This window comes from Homo sapiens, chromosome 6 (genome assembly GCF_000001405.40).
Source record: "Homo sapiens chromosome 6, GRCh38.p14 Primary Assembly".
In the NCBI taxonomy this organism is placed as follows: Eukaryota; Metazoa; Chordata; class Mammalia; order Primates; family Hominidae; genus Homo; species Homo sapiens.
In genome coordinates this window covers 156,678,215-156,696,365 of record NC_000006.12, presented here as the reverse complement: position 1 = coordinate 156,696,365, position 18,151 = coordinate 156,678,215, and the positions used below count along the sequence as shown (strand labels likewise).

At 43.0% G+C, this 18,151-nt stretch overlaps 1 long non-coding RNA gene across 1 annotated transcript, besides 4 other annotated features; it reads left to right on the top strand.

Annotated features, from left to right (window-relative positions):
* Window positions 8,504–9,430: an enhancer, noted in NCBI's record as "OCT4-NANOG-H3K27ac-H3K4me1 hESC enhancer chr6:157008070-157008996 (GRCh37/hg19 assembly coordinates)". NCBI's record gives its function as "activates a minimal SCP1, AML or CMV promoter by ChIP-STARR-seq in naive H9 embryonic stem cells {active_cell/tissue: H9 hESC(naive)}" and the evidence as "EXISTENCE:reporter gene assay evidence [ECO:0000049][PMID:30033119]".
* Window positions 8,841–9,150: a silencer, noted in NCBI's record as "silent region_17706". NCBI's record gives its function as "represses an Ori minimal core promoter by ATAC-STARR-seq in GM12878 lymphoblastoid cells {active_cell/tissue: GM12878}" and the evidence as "EXISTENCE:reporter gene assay evidence [ECO:0000049][PMID:35858748]".
* Window positions 9,431–10,358: an enhancer, noted in NCBI's record as "OCT4-NANOG-H3K27ac-H3K4me1 hESC enhancer chr6:157007142-157008069 (GRCh37/hg19 assembly coordinates)". NCBI's record gives its function as "activates a minimal SCP1, AML or CMV promoter by ChIP-STARR-seq in naive H9 embryonic stem cells {active_cell/tissue: H9 hESC(naive)}" and the evidence as "EXISTENCE:reporter gene assay evidence [ECO:0000049][PMID:30033119]".
* Window positions 9,991–10,100: an enhancer, noted in NCBI's record as "active region_25312". NCBI's record gives its function as "activates an Ori minimal core promoter by ATAC-STARR-seq in GM12878 lymphoblastoid cells {active_cell/tissue: GM12878}" and the evidence as "EXISTENCE:reporter gene assay evidence [ECO:0000049][PMID:35858748]".
* LOC124901444 (uncharacterized) lies at window positions 11,294–16,112 on the top strand. Its single transcript, XR_007059829.1, has 2 exons — window positions 11,294–11,703; window positions 15,821–16,112. It is a non-coding gene; the product is annotated as an uncharacterized LOC124901444 (long non-coding RNA).
* Window positions 16,113–18,151: the final 2,039 nt, after the last annotated feature.

The following is an 18,151-nucleotide window of genomic DNA, read 5'->3' as shown; positions in this document are numbered from 1 at the left end:
CAGCTACTCGGGAGGTTGAGGCACGAGAATAGCTTGAACCTGGGAGGTGGTTCAAGTGAGCCGAGATCGCACCACTGCACTCCAGCCTGGTGACAGAGCGAGACTCCGTCTCAAAAGAAAAAAAAAAAAAAAAAAGAAAAAGAAAAAGACAAAAGAAAAGAAAAAGAAAAAGAAGTAGGGTACAGGGATAGAGGGGCATTGGGGCCCAGCTAGGGGATATTTTAGACAGGCCTCTCTGACGGGGTGGGCTGGAAGAATGAAGTGAACCCCAGAGGCCGAGGGTCCAGGCAGAGAGAACAGCAAGTATAGAGGCGCTGTGGGGATTCCTGAGACCAGGGCGGCTGGAATGGGGTGAGGCAGGAGGAGGGGCAGGAGAAGAAACAGGACAGACAGTAAGTGACTCTGCTGTGTCAGGTCTTGCAGGAAATGACAATCATTGCAGGTTTCATTCTGAGGCCAACGGGCAGCTCTTGGAACATTTTGAAGCAGGAGAGGGTTACCTGGAAACAGACTCTGAGCTGGCAATGCACAGGCAGAAGCCCTGTTCTCCCACCAGCAGAAGAACAAGAGAGAAGCAGGGCTGGGAAGAGGGAGAACGTGGGGTATCTCAACACAGACCCCCAACTGATCCCGCCAAAGCTGTGGGGTTGGGAGGACCCTTCAGAGTTTCCTCCAGTTGAGGCAAGAGGGCTGGACCTTATAAACCAGCATCAACCAGTTGCTGTCTCCCAAGAGGGGTTATAGACTTGGGCTAGGCAGCTCCCTGTGGGAGCGGATGCCTGGAGAGCGACACAGCTGTAGGCCGCCAGCAGTCAACACCCCCAGCAGCTAGGGCAGTGGCACCTGAGTCCTGAAGGGTGGCTCTCCACAGAATCCGCTACAGATCTGTTTATGTTTTCATTCTTATAAAAATCCTCTAAGTTAGGTGTTTTTATTCCCATTAGACAGGAGGAAACTGAGGCTCATGGAGTTTAGGCAACCTGTTCAAGGTCATACCTAGGAGATGTTGGATTTGAGACTAGATCTCTCCAAATGCAAAGACCATATCCTTTAAAAAATTGTGATAAAATATACATAAGTGAAATTTACCCTCTTAACCATATTTCAGTATAAAGTTGGTAGCATTAAGTACATTCACATTGTTGTGCAACCACCCCACTATCCTCCAGAACATTTTGTTTTTAAATATATGGAGTCTTGCCATGTTGTCCAGGCTAGCCTCGAACTCCTGAGATCAAGTCATCCTCCTGCCTCAGCCTCCTGAGTAGTGAGGATTACTGGAGTGCACCACCACACGCAACTAATTTTTATTTTTTGTGTAGACAGGGTCTGACTATGTTGCCCAGACTGGTCTCAGACTCTTGGGCTCAAGCAATCCTCCTGCCTCAGCCTCTTGAGTGGGTGGGACTACAGATGCATGCTACCTCACTTGGTTTCATCTCCAAAACTTTTTCATCTTGCATAACTGAAACTCTGAATCTGTAAAATAATAACTTCTCATTCTCCTCCCATCTCCCTAGTCCCTGGTAACCAGCACTCTACTTTCTGTCTTTATGAGTTTGACTATTCTAGATATAAGTGACATCCCACAGTATTTGTCCTTCTGTGGCTGGCTTATTTCACTTAGCATATTGCCTTCAAGGCTCATCCATATTGTAGCATGTATGCGAATTTCATTCCTCTTTAAGGCTGAATCATATTCCATTGTATGGATATTCCACCATTTATCTGTTTATTCATCTGCCATGGGCATATGGGTTGTTTCCCCCTTTTGGCTATTGTGAATAATGTTGCTATCAACATGGGTGTACAAATATCTCTTCATGGCCCTGCTTTCAATTATTTGGGGTATATATACCCAGAAGTGGGATTGCTGGATCCTATGGTAGTGCTACTTTCAGTTTTTTGAGGAATCATCATAGTGCTTTCCCCGGTGGGTACACTGTTTTCCATTTCCACCAGTATTGCACCAGGGACTGGAACCAGGGTTCCAGTTTTCCACATTTGTGCCAACACTTATTTTCTTCTCTCTCTCTCTAATAATAGCCATCCCAATGGGTGTGAAGTAGTATCTCACTGTGGTTTTGAGACCATGTACTTTTCATTGCCACCATGCTCCCTCTCTGAAGGGAATCAAAGATTTCAAGCTTGCATCCAATCCCATCATTCCACTTGTGGGTGAAAATGGTGACAATGCTTAGTCAAGACAAAAGCTCACTGAGCGAGGTGGCTCACGCCTGTATTCCCAGCACTTTGGGAGACTGAGGCGGGCAGATCGCCTGAGCTCAGGAGTTCAAGACCACCCTAGGCAACATGGTGAAACCCTGTCTCTACTAAAATACAAAAAATGAGCTGGGCGTGGTGCCACGCGCCTGTAGTCCCAGCTACATGAGGCACAAGAATCGCTTGAGCCCTGGAGGTGGAGGTTGCTGTGAGCCAAGATCATGCCACTGCACTCCAGCTTGGGCTACAGAGTGAGACTCTGTCTCAAAAAAAAAAAAAAAAAAAAAAGACAAAACTCAGTTAATCTCCCTGGATTAACATACCCCGAGGCACTCAGACAACTAAAGAACAATACAAAATTTGTCACTGTATGCTGAATTAGTCTTTAAAGTTTTTGCTCAAGAACCCTAAAATAGTTTAGAAAACAATGCTCTTCTTTGCATATTTTTAAATCGATACCTATAATTTTATCATACATTTGAATAGTTATAAACATGTGAATTCTAGCATATTGTAAATGTTGACATTTTAAAAGAAAACTGTGACATCACTCTTTTAAATGCATCTCAATGGAATTCACATCCCATCACAGTTTGTTACCCACCATCATCCATTTAAGAAATACACATGCCAGTTCATCTTCAGCAAGCAAAAATTGTATTCCATTTTCTCTTTGAAATTTTATTTCCATTCTACTTCCCCTTCAGAATTTTATGCTAATGTAATATAATGATAGAAAGTCTTTTACTGAATATCTCGTTGTACTTTTATCTATCAAACATATGTATACAAACTAAAATTTATACACTTTGAAATTCTTGTGACCATAGGCTCTAAGAGTTCTCTGAATTGAGTTCTCATTGCAATGACTAGTGTTACACAACTGATCCAAACAACCTAAATGAATATCAAATTTTATAAATGCTAACATGAAAAGTAAAGTTTTATTGGAAGTTTGCATTTCTTTTCTTGTTTTTTTTTTTTTTGAGACAGAGTCTCACTCTTGTTGCCCAGGCTGGAGTGCAATGGCGCCATATCGGCTCACTGCAACCTCCGCCTCCCGGGTTCAAGCGATTCTCCTGCCTCAGCCTCCCGACTTGCTACTCATTGCTAGATTGCTAGGATGACAGTGTGTGGCATTAATGCTATTTCTATTTCTATTTCTCATTTCTTAGAGATGAGAAATCCTTGTTCTTATAAATAAGGAGAGGGGAATGGAAAAAGTTTTGTTGTAAAAATGTCTTTCAAGTTTTGTCTTTTGGGGCAAATAAGTCAAAAATTGTCTTTCAATTTTTGTCTTTTGGGGCAAATAATCTTTTCTGACTTATTTGCCCCAAATCACATGGTAATGTATGATCAGAGATGATTTTCTAATGATCTGTCAGCTGACAACTCTACTAGATCCTCCTTCAGTTTTGTTGAAATCAAAATATTGGAAACTGTATGGTTTGCAAAGCCTTTGTTACCTAGTCTGTGAAGGACTGAACTTTGTTCCTACGTATGCATATGTTGATGTCCTAACCCCTAGTACCTCAGAATGGGCCTGTATTTGGAAATAGGGTCATCGTAGATATAATTGGTTAAGATGGGGTGATTAGGGTAGGCCCTAATCCACTATGACTGGTGTTCTTATAAAAAGAGGAAATTTGAACATAGGGACAGACACATCTAGAGGGAAGATGATGTGCAGAGACACAGGAGGAAGATGGCCATCTACCAGCCAAGGAGAGAGGCCTGGTACAGCGTCTTCCTCAGGGGCCTCATAAGGAACCAACTCTGCCAACACCTTGATTTTGGACTTCTGGCCTCAGAACTGCGAGACCATAGGTTTCTGTTGTTTAAGCCCTGCCGCTTGTGGTCCTTTGTTAAGGTAAACTTAGAGCCACTCACTCCCTTATACCTACACCAATATTTTCCATTTTTCTTTTATTTGGTGTCCAGGAGGGTTTTTTAAACCCCAGAGCAAGGCATCCCAGAAAGACTGGAAATGCAGGAGAGGGACGCTTCTCTTTTGTAAGTGGAATAGAAGCCACTGTGAAAGGGAAATGGGTGTTTAATAAAAAGCAGATATTGAATTTGAAGATCTGCATGTTGCTTTCCTTCAAAATATCCTTGTCTGTGGGCCCCTTTGGAAAGTCTCAGGCCCAGAGGACTAGGTGTGGTGCCTTGTTTGAAGACAGCTGTGCTGAGCCATAAAATACCTACTGAAATTCAGGGGTATGGAAAGCCTTTGTCCATGGAGGTGTCAATGACATTTTCATGGAGGCTATAACATCTAACTGGCCTTGTGTGTAGAATTTTGATTTGTGGCAGAGAGAAGGAAGGACATTCCAGCCAGGGTGGAAGCAACTTGGAAATGCACTTTTGACTAAAGTAGGAATTGGTAGGGTGGGACCAGTCTTCAGGGGTCCATCAACGATGGGCCTAGGAGCTTGTACTTAGGCACTAGAAAGCGTTTCATGAGCACTGCCACGATGAGAATGGTGCTTAGGAAGATGAGTCGGGCTGCAATGTAGAGGATGGGTGGGTGTGTGCAGAGCTGGGGCAGGAGCAATCCAGGGGTGTGGCTCTCCAAGCATGGATCCGTGCAATGGATCTAGAAAGGGGGAGGCAGCTGTGTGTTGGTTGTGACAGAAACACAAGTCGAATGCCCATGTCATAGTCAAATTATGTGCCCACTGCTTAATGATCTTCATTTGAGAGGGGCTGCCAAGTCCCTGAACTAACTCCCTGTCTTTCCTCTGCTTTTCCGCTGTCTTCTGTAGTGGTGGAGGGCTTAAAAGTCTAGAAAGACTAACGATTTCCAGCGAGTCAAGTAGAGGCACAGTGGGGCAAAACTTCTCTGTTATGTGACTGATCCTTTCATTGTCAGGATGAAATGAGTCAATGCGTGTGAAGACACTTGGTTAACTAGAAAGTGCCCTGAAATGTAAAGCTATGGTTCCTCATTACTCACTGTTGCATGCTACTCTTTCTCAGAGGTAGTGGAGAGGTTTTCTCAGTGCTTCACTTCACATGAGGCTTTAGTAACTGAAATCCAGGTAACAGAGACTCCATTGTGCATTGCCTGAGAATTTCCTTGGGCTTATATCCCTCTCCAAATTGGGAAGGTGTGACAATACCCCCTGCTGAGCCCCACTGGGGAGAGGAGCCATGCATTGCACTCCTGGATTCTCTGAGGTGTCTGTCCTCATGCCCAAGCACCCTCAGAGGACTGTTCATTTGCCGTCAGAATTGCAAGCCTTCCTGATTAGGTAGTAATGGATACAAAGCTTTCCTATGCCCTGAAAACCAGATTTTTTTTTAAATGGCCACATGCTCTCCACTCCCCAAGCAGGGGAGTCCACAGAGCATCAGAACAACCTGCCACACAACTGTCATTCACACACACACACACACACACACACACACACACACACATTCAATACCACTTGCATTTTTATGACCCAGAGAGGATAAGAAAACTGGTTTATTCTAGAAGAAACTGGTGGTCACCATCCTTATAGCCATCTCTCTAAATCTTATTCATGTTCTCTGTGTGACCCTGAGGGTCACTGGAACCTTCTGGTGTTCTTAGTTCTCCAGAGGATTCCCTTGGCCATCGTGGTAGAGACCTGTCCTACTGGTCATGTGGCTGCTGACTCTAGCTGCTAGGACATGAACATTTGGAATTTCTTCCAAGGATGAAAAGGACATGGTAAATAATGTCTGAATGAGTTTTCTTACCTACATTGCCACTGCCATCTCTTATTCAAAGGAATATCTCCATTCATATGGCTGCCATAAAGCAAATCCAATGGTAGGAAGACAAGATGGAAGCATCAGATGATCCCCTCGGCATTGACACCTGCTCCCATTTAAGAGATGGGGAGAGAAGCCAGCGTGTTAAATGGTAACAGTTCCTGTCATTCCATGTATACTTAACAGGTGCCAGGATGTGCCAAGCACTTTGGATATGGAGCTCATTTTGCCCTCCAACCCTATGGAGTAGGAATGCTAACACCTAGATTTTCAGGGGAATAGATGGCAAACTGGAGCAGGTAGGTCACTTTCTCAAGGTCACGAAACTAGTAAGTAGCTGTGTCAGTCAGGGTGACTTAAACTGAGCTTTGATAACAAAGAGCTCCCAAATCTTAGTGGCTTACAATATCAAAGATTTATTCCTCCCTCCTGCTAAATGTCTACCAAGGTCTCTGGAGGCTTCTTCCTCAATCTAGGACCTCGGCAGACACTACCAGGACACTGCTGGTTGTCATGCAAGTGGAAAAGGAGAAGACCGCAAAGTGCTCAATGCTGGCACATGTTACTTCTGTTTATTTTGTTGGCCAGAGGCTGTCACATGGTACCTGTAACTTCAGAGGGCCAAGGAAGTACACTCTTATTATCTCAAAGGGAGAGGAGGAATTTTTGCAGACAGCTCTAATGACCACCACAGTGGTAAAGGAAGGATCCCAGAAGAAAGGCATTTTCTAAAGCCTATGCTCTTTGCTCCTATGAGAGCTTCCACTCACGGAGCCCTGGGCGCCTCGTGGGGTCTGAGCACTAAGCGTTTTACAGATATCATTTCTGGTCTTCATAGCCACTTGTTAGGTAGATGCTAATATTCCCTTCATTTCGAGATCAGGTTGCTGAGGCCCAGACAGGTCTTGAAGTAGCTTGAGCCAGATGGTACAGAGAGTACCAAATAGCACGTGTGCAGGCCTCTGATTAGTATGACTCGGGAGGCTCTCTTCTTTCCTTCTTTGCCTTGAGGATTTCCAATGCCACAGACATCATTTCAGTTTCACAACAGAAAACTCACATACATTTTCACAAGATTAAAACTTTGCTTAATCTTGTGTTCATTTATTGTTTTATTAATTGCTCATTGTAAAAATTCAGGTAATACAGGCATGAAGGAGAAAGCGAAAAATCACTAACAATCAAAACATCAAGAGAGAGCCGCTGCTAACATTTTAAGTATGTCCCTCCAGATCTGCTCATCTGTAACTTGTTTCTTCACATAACAATAGGTTGTGAACATCCTTCCAATAAATACACTGCAGTTTTAATGACTGCATAATACTCTATTGAGTGACTGTGCTACAATTTAAAATTCCTTGATGATCCACATTTATCTTCTGTTTAATCTCTCCCTCTTCTCTTGTTAATTCTGAGTTCCAGCTCTTTCTTAACAGTGATGTCTAAAATCTCCTGTGTCTTATGATACAGGATAAGACACAGGTCTCTTATGATAAGAGACCTTATGCTTTCGCATTGTTATGGTCAAAGATCTTTAATCAAAACACTAGTTCCTCTTTGTTACCTCTTTTCTTTCTCCCTCTTTCATAAAGAGCCCCCACAAATGGTATTAAATGTTTTGTTCTGGGAGTTTCAGGCCAGGGATTTTCCTTGACATTTCTTTTTTGTTTCATGTACTTTTTCTGAAATTCCCCAATAAACTGTCCTGTTTTTCTTTTTACTTTTGTTTTTGTATATCCACATTGCTTATTTTATTATATATTTGCATGCCCATATTCCAGAACCACTGAACAGCATGTTTTGTGCTTTTCCTGGCTGTTACCTGTGTGGCAAGGTATTCAGTGGCTTCCTGGCTTCCTTTTCTATGCCCCCTGAGTAACCCCCTATGCAGATTCATCACTTTCCTACTCATTGTAGGTTCCCTGCTTTGCTCATGTTGTTCCCTCAACCTGGAGTGGCCTTTACTGTCATCTAGAGTTGGTCTTCAGAATCCAGCTCAAATGCCTGGCCTTTCACAAAGCACCGTCTGACCCTTTAACTGTTCTTTCCTCTGTGCTTGGTAGCATTTTACTATCACCTCCAATATATACTCAGGAGTCATCTACTGAGCACCTATGGTGTACCCTGGAGGGCTGGGGCAGAACAGACAACAATCAGCCTTGGTATCCACCCTCTAGGAGTCCGGGGAAATAGGAAAACAGAACTGGAACCCAGTGTAGTCCAGGCTGAAATGGAGGTCAGCAGAGACGCCAAGATAATGACAGGGCCACGCCAGCGCTCGCTGGCTTTTCTTTAACGCACGTTTTCCCTTAGTAAAAATCAAGATCCTGAGGGAGAAGTGATCCTTTTTAATTCGCCTTTTCGGGACTTTGTGGCAGCGCTTAACGCGCCTTATGCTTAATGGCACACGTCGGGGGGCTCCCGGGAGATGACGGGTGGGCGGACCCCAGGCGCAGGTCCAGTCCCATTACCCACATTTCCCGGAGCCCAGTCTACTTTTCACATCTTTCATTCCCCCTGAAATAGATGCACATTCGCCTCCAGATTTAGAATAGGAGCAATGAGTATTTCACGAAAGCCTGGAAAATATGACTTTTCCAGAAATGGCTTAAGTCGGTCATAGATCTTCAGGCTCCTGGCAACTGCGGGACGGGGGTGTGCCCTAATTGCATCCATTTCCTCCCAGGCCTGATTGGGAATCTTGCACCGGCATCGCGAGCCCCGCTCTTCGGCCTCCAGGAGCGAGTGAGGGACGCGGGAGAGGGGCTTTTCTTCGGCGTGCGCGTCCCCCTGCCGCCGGCTTCTCCAGCTCCTCGCCGGGCCGCGCTGCCGCCCAAACTCCGCGGCGCCGCCCGCTCCGCGCCCGGCTCCGGCCCAGGTTTTGCGGCCCGCCCGCCGCCGCGCTCGCCGAGCCGGAGGCTGGCGCCGCCGAGGCCGCCGCGGCCGGGGCGTGGGGGCCGCACCGCGCACGCGCGCCCGCGGCGTCTGAGGCTCCCTGCGCCCCGACTCCGCGCGGCCGGAACCCTCGCGCCGCCGCGCCACCCGGAGCCGCCCGGGACCCGGACCCCGCGCGCCCCGCGCCGGGCGGGGACTATTTTCTCTGCCCGTGTCCTCTCCTCTCCCCACGCCGGGAGGAACATTCCTGGCTCTCCCCGCCCGGCTGCGTCTGTGCCCGCTCCTCCCCCGCCGCGTGTTTTCCGCCCCAGTAAAGATCGTGCCACACAAATAAGCCTCGAATGCCCTTTGCCGAGCAGGCAGGAGGGCAGCAAGCGCAGAGCCCGAGCGGGCCATTTTCAGGGCGCGTCTCCGGAGCCGCTAAAAGTCTTGTTTTCTCCCAAAAGTGGAAGGTGGGAGGTGGGGCGGTCGTGGGGCCGCTTCCAACTGCTACACACGCTCGAATAGTTGTCAGTAAAATCAAACTGACGTCAGCCCTGAGGAAAAAGATAGGTCTCTTTTGTTCTCATGTTCTACCCCCGCCCCTTGCGATCAAAGGCAAAAAACATTTTTTTGGAGGTGGGGGGAAAGACAAAAAGGGGGAAAAAATTGCAATGCGGAGAGATAGCTTCCATCAGAGCTCCTGCCCGGGCGATGGGAATGTTTAATGAATGCATCAAGCCTTTTGATCACCCTCGCTCGGTTGGGTTCAGTAGTGCCGGAAGGTTAGTTGCATCTCCTGTGGCTGATCTGAAATTCGATCAGCAGAGGGGGCAAAGAAAAGAAAAGCATTTTAATGGGAATCAATAGGGGATCATAGGTCTTGGAAGGAAATACGTGTTGATTAAAAATGCCACAAGATTAAAAAATGTCCACGACTTGTTTAAAAAGAGAAAAAGGAAAAAACAGAGAGGAGAGGAGAGAGAGAGAGGAGAGAGGAGAGGGGGAGGAGGAGGGAAAAAAACCCTTAGCAATCTATTTTCTCTGTGTGTTGCTGCCAGAGAGGCAGTCAGCAGACCAACAGTTTGTATAATGCTTCAAGCTACAGCGGGCAAATTTAAAGCTGTATGCTCAGAACAACATAATAAATACTTATTGAAAATGCATTTCTATTTCTAAGCGGGGTTCACTCATGCATTATACAAAGCACCTAGGGCTGCAGTAGCGAGACGCAAGGGGACAAATAAGGTGTACTGTGGCTCAAGTTCTTAAAACTAAACTCTCCAGCTTTTAACAGTTGACAGCAAGAACATAGACACTTAAAAAATGTATGAAAAACTAAACGAATAGCTTGAAAGATACCACGGACTTAAATTGTCTGAAACTTAAAGTTGTAATTTAAAAAAATCTGATAACTGAGGTTGAGGAGAAGGATAGCAAGGGGAGTTAGTGGTAGATAGCATATTGATTGGGTTACAGAGTGGAAAATTATTGCCCTGTAGGTAGAGAAAGTGATCAGCGGTGTGATAAAAACGGTGGAAGGTTTTATGACTATCCATCTACTACAGTGGGAAAGGGAAAAAGGTATTTTAAACCCATTCTTTGACAGAAAAACACAAATATACACCCTGTTTGCATAGCCTTTTAGAAAGAAATCAATTTACATTTTTACATTTTTGCATGTTAAACAAAGTTTCTTCATTGCAGTGGTGGAGCCTTCCTTTCAATAGCCTTTTAGGGAGTCCTCCAGATCTCCTGCATTCTAGTCCTACCCTTTACTCATCTTCCTCATTTTTACCTTTTCTTTCAATCTCTTTGAAGGACGTAAAAAGCGTCAAAGAGGTTTCTCAGGGCAATTTCCCTTGGATGTTCCTAATATTTAATTTCAGTAGTTTGGATAAAGGGGGATCTGTTATAATGGAGGTTTCCTTGTTGAGCCACGAATTATCTTACCTCAATATTTTTGGTCTCTACTAGATTATAAAATCCTTGAAGGCAGGGGATGTATCTCCTCTATCATTCATATTTCCAACAATGCCCCTTAGAACAAAACCTTGCACCTGGGAAATAGTAGAGAGAGCTCATTGAGCACTTTGGGTTAATAGCGGTAGATGGCCCATTGGATTTCAGAGAGGAAAAGTCATTGCTGGGTAACCTCAGAGAAGTGACTTAGCTTCTCTGAGCTTCAGGTTCCTCATCTGTAAAGTTTGAATGCTTATATCTAGCTACCAGGACTCACTTTTGTGAATGAAATGCTCATAAAGCACACTGTGTAATGTGCAATATCTGGCTATATATACATATATATCTAAATACATATATAATGTATCTAAATATATCTATAAATTTTATGTTCTATCTATCTATCTATCTATCTATCTATCTATCTATCTATCTATCTGCCTATCTTGTTCCTTCTCCTAAGATTTCTCCCACCCAGAAGCCCTGACTCCTTTATTCACACTCTGATGTGTCCCCGCCTTGAATCTGGACTGTAGCTGGATTGATGCTTTATGACGTTCAAGGCTAGATTATAAGAATCTTGCTGCTTCTACTTGGGACTCTTGGAATGCTCACTCTTGGGACATTCCCTCCTAGGACCCAGCTGCAATCTTCAGGAATCAGGGATCTTGTGTAGGTGAGATCAGGTGGACAGGTTGATAGTGTGCAGTGAACTCCCAGCCAACAGATAACATCAACTGCCAGCCATTCACTGCCAGCCAAGTGAATAGGCCATTTTGGATGGCCAGGCCTGTCCAAACTTCTGATGACTCCAGCCCCAGCTGTTGTCTGACTGCAATTGTATGAAAGACCCCAAGCAAGAACTGCCCAGCTGAGCTTAGTCAGCCCATAGAACCGTGAGAGGTAATATATAAAATGTGCAAATAAAAAAATAATTTTACAGTAGGTATAAAACCTGCTTGTTGAATAAACAGAAATGAAATAAGCTAGCTGCTTGGCAATCTCTTCCTTACCCCTTCCCTCCTGCCCCTGTTATTCTTTGACACCCCCAGTGGCATGCCAGCCCTTATTCCTGAGGCTATTAAGCTAACTGTGACTACATTAAAATGGAATTTGGTAAGCCCTTTCCTCAGGAGGCTTAGAGTCCAATTGGGCAAGAAGAAACTTTTCAAAAGGGGAAGCCATTTATGCACTGCTAGGTCCTGGCATAGAATAATGATTGTTAAACTATCTGTTGTTAAATGGAAACATTATTTTCTGTAACATGCTGATTGGAGGGAGGAAAGTTTATCTAGGGTTTGAGCTGGCCTTTGCTTGTAGGGATTTTTTTTTTTTTTTTTCAGCTTCTTTTTGATGTAGTTCTACCTTTCCTGGGAAAATCTTAAGAGTTCAGGAGAACAAATTTCTACCAGTTTGGAAGCCACCAAAATGAGAAGATATAGTATCTTATTTTATTAATTTTGATATTTATGCACTAGCTAATTACTTGGAAGATACATCTTCTTGTTCGTAATACAGTCAGTGCCATTTGGCCCTTGATCAAGTGTAAACAATGATTTTCATGTGGAAGGGCTGGAGCTTGGGCTGCATCTGCCGTGCACTTCATTCGCTAGGGCTACAGTGGTCACCAGAGATTTTTCTTCTATCACAGGTGATTCTACCCAAGAATGATTCGAGGAAAGGGGAGGTGTGGGCAGGAAACCAATTGGGGTTCGCAAATAAATAAAATGCAACTCAATTTTTTTTTAATTTTTGAAAGAAATTCTAAACTTACTGACTTGTTTTAAAAATTGAATAAATAGGCTGGGCACAGTGGCTCATGCCTGTAATCCCACTTTGGGAGGCCAAGGTGGGTGGTTTGCTTGAGTCCAGAGGTTTGAGACCAGCCTGGCCAACATGGTGAAACCCTGTCCTTACTAAAAATACAAAAAAATTAGCCGGGCATGGTGGCACATACCTGTAATCCCAGCTACTTTGGTGGCTGAGGCACAAGAATTGCTTGAACCCGGGAGGTGGAGGTTGCAGTGAGCCAAGATAGTGTCATTACACTCCGGCATAGGCAACAGAGTGAAACTTCATGTAAAAAAAAAAAAACAAAAAACTAAATATTATACATGTAAAGAAAAAACCCAAAAATCTCAACAATGACAATTTAAAGGCAGAGATGAACAAGGAGAAGAGAAAGGTGGGTGCTTTGAGTGTGGAGAGAAGAGGGATAAGTGGCTTGGTGGATCCCAGGATGAGTCTGCGTCACTTGGATATTTACTTGAATTAGGGTTGTAGAGATTCTGGGAATATCTTGAGTTGCATGTTTTTGCGTTTTTTCTTACTTTTACAGTAAAATGTTTACATAGATAAAACACAAAGCCTTTTTTGATTTTGTCGATACGGGCATACATACACATAATAAGCCCAGTGAAAAATATTTTTCATGAGCAAATGGGTCAGCTACTCTACATAACTCTTCATAGGACTTTCAAAGTTTATATTCTGAATGCAACAATTACAACAATGTTCCAGAACAGAAATTGCATTCTGGAATGCACCAGTTGGGAAGTGTAATACCTTCTGATGAGCTACTGGCTAAAGTTGCATTCCAACCTCTTGCTGCTATGTCTTGGTTTGTATCATCTCCATGGTGGCTTTTAATACTTCATTCCAATTGGATGGATTGGGTCCCCGGATCTGTCTTTGGCTTTGAGCCTGTCTCTTGCAATTGACCCGTCTTCAAGAAGCTTGACCCATGTGTTCCGTTCATTTAATTCTTCATTCATTCCTTCAACAAACATGTATTATCTGTCTACTATGGGCCAAACACTGTACTAGGGGCTGGGGATACATTGATGAACAAGGCACCATTGTAGCCTTCCAACAGCTTCCAGGCTTGTGGGAAAGACCCACAGGTACTCAGGGGAACACTGGTAGGGAAACTGGAGTGATTTTGAACACTAAGGAAGCCATCAGAGAAGGGAAAAGTGAGAAGCGTCCTCAGAGAGTCTGAGTTGAGACCTAGATAAATGAATCAGCCAGGTGAAGGCCAGGGCATGGGGAAACATAGTGAGAAGAGATATTGGAATTGCAATATTTGAGATGTTGTATGGAGGTTCCTGATTTTGCCCTGGGATCTGTAAAGACAGCTAGGTGTAGTGATGCTTAAGCTAGTCCTGATTTAAAAAAATAATAATGTAAGTGGAGTGATTAATTCAAGACTTAGTCACCTTTTAAGCTATGAGCTTTTTTGCAGACTAAATGTGCTCTGCTTGCACTTATGTCTGTCAGCAATGCTTCTCCGGAATCTGACTGACCCTCTGAAGCCAAGTTTCATCTGTATTAGTGGTGGTGGTGACTGCCATTTTGGAAAAGGGATTTTTTCCCTTCACTTTTATTGTCGCATCTCAGTGCCATTGTTGATGTGGATTATGTTCTGTCATCTTCGTTGCTTCCTTTTGTACCTACAAACATTCCAAGATGCTAGCATTTATTTCTAGTTGCAGTATTTTAATTTCATTTTTATATCTTTTTATTGTGGTGAAATATACACAACATAAAACTGACCATTTTAACCATTTTAAAGAGTATAGTTCCGGGACGTTAAGTACATTTGCGTTGTTGTGCAAGCAATAGTCACCATCCATCTCCAGTAATTCCCCATTTTCCCTTCTCCCATCCCCTGGCAACCAGAATTCTACTTTTTGTCTCTATTAATTTGACTACTCTGGGTACCTCATATAATCATTTTACATTTTAAACTTTTTGGCAGAATTGCTGTCAGATTTGAAATGTTATTGGAGAAAGATTGTACAGGATGAATTACTGAAAATTTTAATGCATTTAAGTGTTCTACACACAGTTTTAACATTTTCTGTGACTGCGTAATTTATTCTGAAGCTGGCTATAGCAGTGTGTCTTAAGTCAACGTTGATGGGAGAGGTCAAAACTTTTTGCCTGATAAAGACTATTAAACAATTAAGATGACATAATAGCACTACAGGTATAAATTATGTCATGAGATTCTATCTGATTTGATTGGATCTTTCTCCCATATGTAAAATTAAATGTCCTCCAACTGAAACAGTCTTATTCAATATTCCTCAGTACAACTTTGTTAGTAGCTCCCTTAATGCATGAAAGAAGATGGTAAACGTTATGATGTATTTTTATAATCACTCATTTTACACATTTCTGAAATAGTAAAAATAATATTTTGTTTCAGTTACAGATATCTGAGAAACAACACTTTATACTCTACTGTATAAAAATTTCTTAATGGTAAAAGTGACTGAGAAATAAAGATAGAAAACTATAGCTCACGTTGTCTCAAACCTTTGTAAAAAATATTTCATAGTAGGATTACAGACATACTTAGATTATAAATAATTTTATTGCCAAGTTATCCATGTGAAAATTTAATTAATATAAATTACACGTTGCAGTAAAAATGATCTCTATAATGGCCAAATTTCGGCTTTTACAGTCTTTTGCTTTCAATATGATGTCATCTTTGCCAGAATGATCTGAAAAAGGCCTTCACTCTTAGAACTAATTTCTTTATAGGAGTTCTAGTTCTTAGGTTGTAGTAAAGATAGAGGAACCTCATTAATTCTCACTTTGCTAATCCATAAACTCTGTAATTTCCACAAAAATTTCTCAGCAATATCATTTTACTTTACAGGAAACATTTTATAGCCAGGAGCTCTAGACAAATCTCAAATCACTAAGAATCCATTACTTTTGCCAAATATACTATAGGCCATTCACTAGCTATCATAAAATATTATGACTCAACTACATTTATCTAAGTAAACTAGTAAAGCAAATATCACGATTCCAAATTCAGATGTGAAAAAATCATGTGCACATATTCTCATATTTCCCTACATTATGTGTGTGTATGTGTGTGTGAGATTGTTATAATGATAACCCCTAATAATTTGTGAATTACACTTTCCTGTATTCATATCTCTTTGCTACACCTTCAAACAAAAGGAGAATTACATTTTTTTCTATCCTTTGACTGCAGGCTGCTCTTGTGACTTGATTTGACAAATGGAATCTGGCAGAAGTGACATTGGATGTCTTCTGAGGCCAGGCTTATAGAGGCTAGGGAGCTTCTGCTTTTGGTCTCTTGTAACCCTAAGACTCCCATGCTGTGAACAATTATGCTCACGAAGAAAGACTTCTGCAGAGAAAGGCCCAGGTAAGCTCAGTCTTAGTCAACTGCCAGTGGACTGTACCCAGGCAAGTCCAGAAGAGAATTCCTCAGCCAACCTATAGAATCATGACAAATAATAAATTGCGGTTGTTTAAAACCATGAAGTTTCAGGGTGTTTTGTATGAGGATGTCCAATTGTTCCAGCACCATTTTTGGAAAAAGCTATTTTTGCTCCATTGTGTTGCCTTTGCTTTTTGTCAGAGAAACTGATATAGAAATTGTTATCTGACACTAGGTGCAAGTGTAGCAAAATCCTAAAACATGTGACAATGGTTTGGTGACTAGGTGGCAGGTAGAGGCTGCAATAGAAGCAAGAAGTTTGTTAGCAGATGCTGGAAGAACAATGAGGAAATGGCTATTGTTAAGACTTCAGAAAAATTTAAGGAGGTACCTAACAGACTCTCTCACCAGACAAAGAATCTTAAGGGCATTGTTTCATAGCAACTTGACATGTTCAAAGTAGAGGTATGTCTTGAAAATAATTATGGATATACCTTTTGGGCTTGGAGAGAAACTATAAAATTAATAGGAAACCCACAAAGTTTTTTGAGAGTATTGTATTTATGAGAGCACTGTCAGCTTGGACTGAAAGGGAAAGAGGGAATTCAAAATTAAAAAGAGGCCTCTGTACTCCCAACTTTCCACGGGCAGAAAGAAGACTAAGAAAGCTTCCTAGCTGCAAACGTGGGCCATTGTTGAGGATAAATGAAAGGTGTTTCAGAAGGTAAAGCCACAAGACTAGGGCAGAACCAAGAGCTGGGAAGAATAAGAATGGAGAGAACCAATCTTAGTGAGCAGAATTGGCCCCCAGTAAAGGAACATTCTTTATTCCCAGAAGAGAAGGCCTGAAACATGTGCCCAGCTGGATTTCAAGAGTTGTTATGGGCCAGTGACAGTTCTGTGCCTCCCATCCCCTTGTTTTTGAGTGGAAGTATCAATTGCAGTTATCTTATCCCTGTCTTTCCATTGTATATTGGGTGTCTGTGGGGCAGATAACTGTTTTTAGTTCATGGAGCTCTAGATTAAGAGTTGCTGCACCAAAGAGCCATTCTTTGCTAGCCTCATCTTTATCGGTACTTGATGATCTGCATGAGATCATGGGCTCTGAGCCTGATGCTGGGATTGGATGAGACTTTGGGGATTTGCATGTGAAGGAGACGTGAATCAATGGGTCCAAAGGAAGCTGTGGCACAACAATATTTAAAATAATGGCCCCTGATGAATCGCGTCTTTTTGTGTTCATGCCTTTTGGCAATGTGACTTTGCTGCTCCTCTCATCAAGAGGTGGCATCTAGTTTCTCACTCCTTCAATATGGGCTGGGCGAATGGACTGGCTCTGACCAGTGGAACATAACAGTAGCACACTGTCCAGCTTCTGAGGCTAGAGCCTAAAAGGCTTGGAACCTCTGCTTTTATGGCTTGGACTTTGGAGGTCACCATGCTGTGAAAAACTCAACATAAAAGACTGTGTGGAGAGAGAGGTGCAGCTATTTCAGCCGACTCAGTAGAGCACAGTACCCAGCTGGTCCACCAGCAGAATATGGTTGGATAAGTCAGCCCAGTGGGAGCAATGGAACTTCTTGGCCAACCCCTAGAATCACAAATAATAATAAACTGTTGTTATTTTAAACCACTAGATTTTGGGTGTTGCTTATTACACAGCAATAGATACCTGGTACAACTTACAATTTAGAACTGGTTGTTGTGAATAAAGATTTCCTTAATTATTTTATTTATTAACTATTAATTTAATTTAAGTTTTTTGAGATGGGGTCTCGCTCTGCTGACCAGGCTGGAGTGCAGTGATCTCGGCTCACTGCAACCTCTGCCTCCTGGGTTCAAGCAATTATTGTGCCTCAGCCTCCTGAGTAGCTGGGATTACAGGTGCCCGCCACCATGCCCGGGTAAGTTTTGTATTTTTAGTAGAGACAGGGTTTCACCATGTTGGCCAGGCTGGTCTCGAACTCCTGAGCTCAGGCAATCCACCCGCCTCCACCTCCCAAAGTGCTGGGATTATAGGCGTGAGCCACCGCGCCTGGCCTCCTTAAGTATTTTTGCCTGCTTGTAGTAATATAGCTCCTTGATGTGTGGCTTTGTTGATAGTGTGATGCCCTTGGCTGCTGGAAGTTAAGTTAAAGC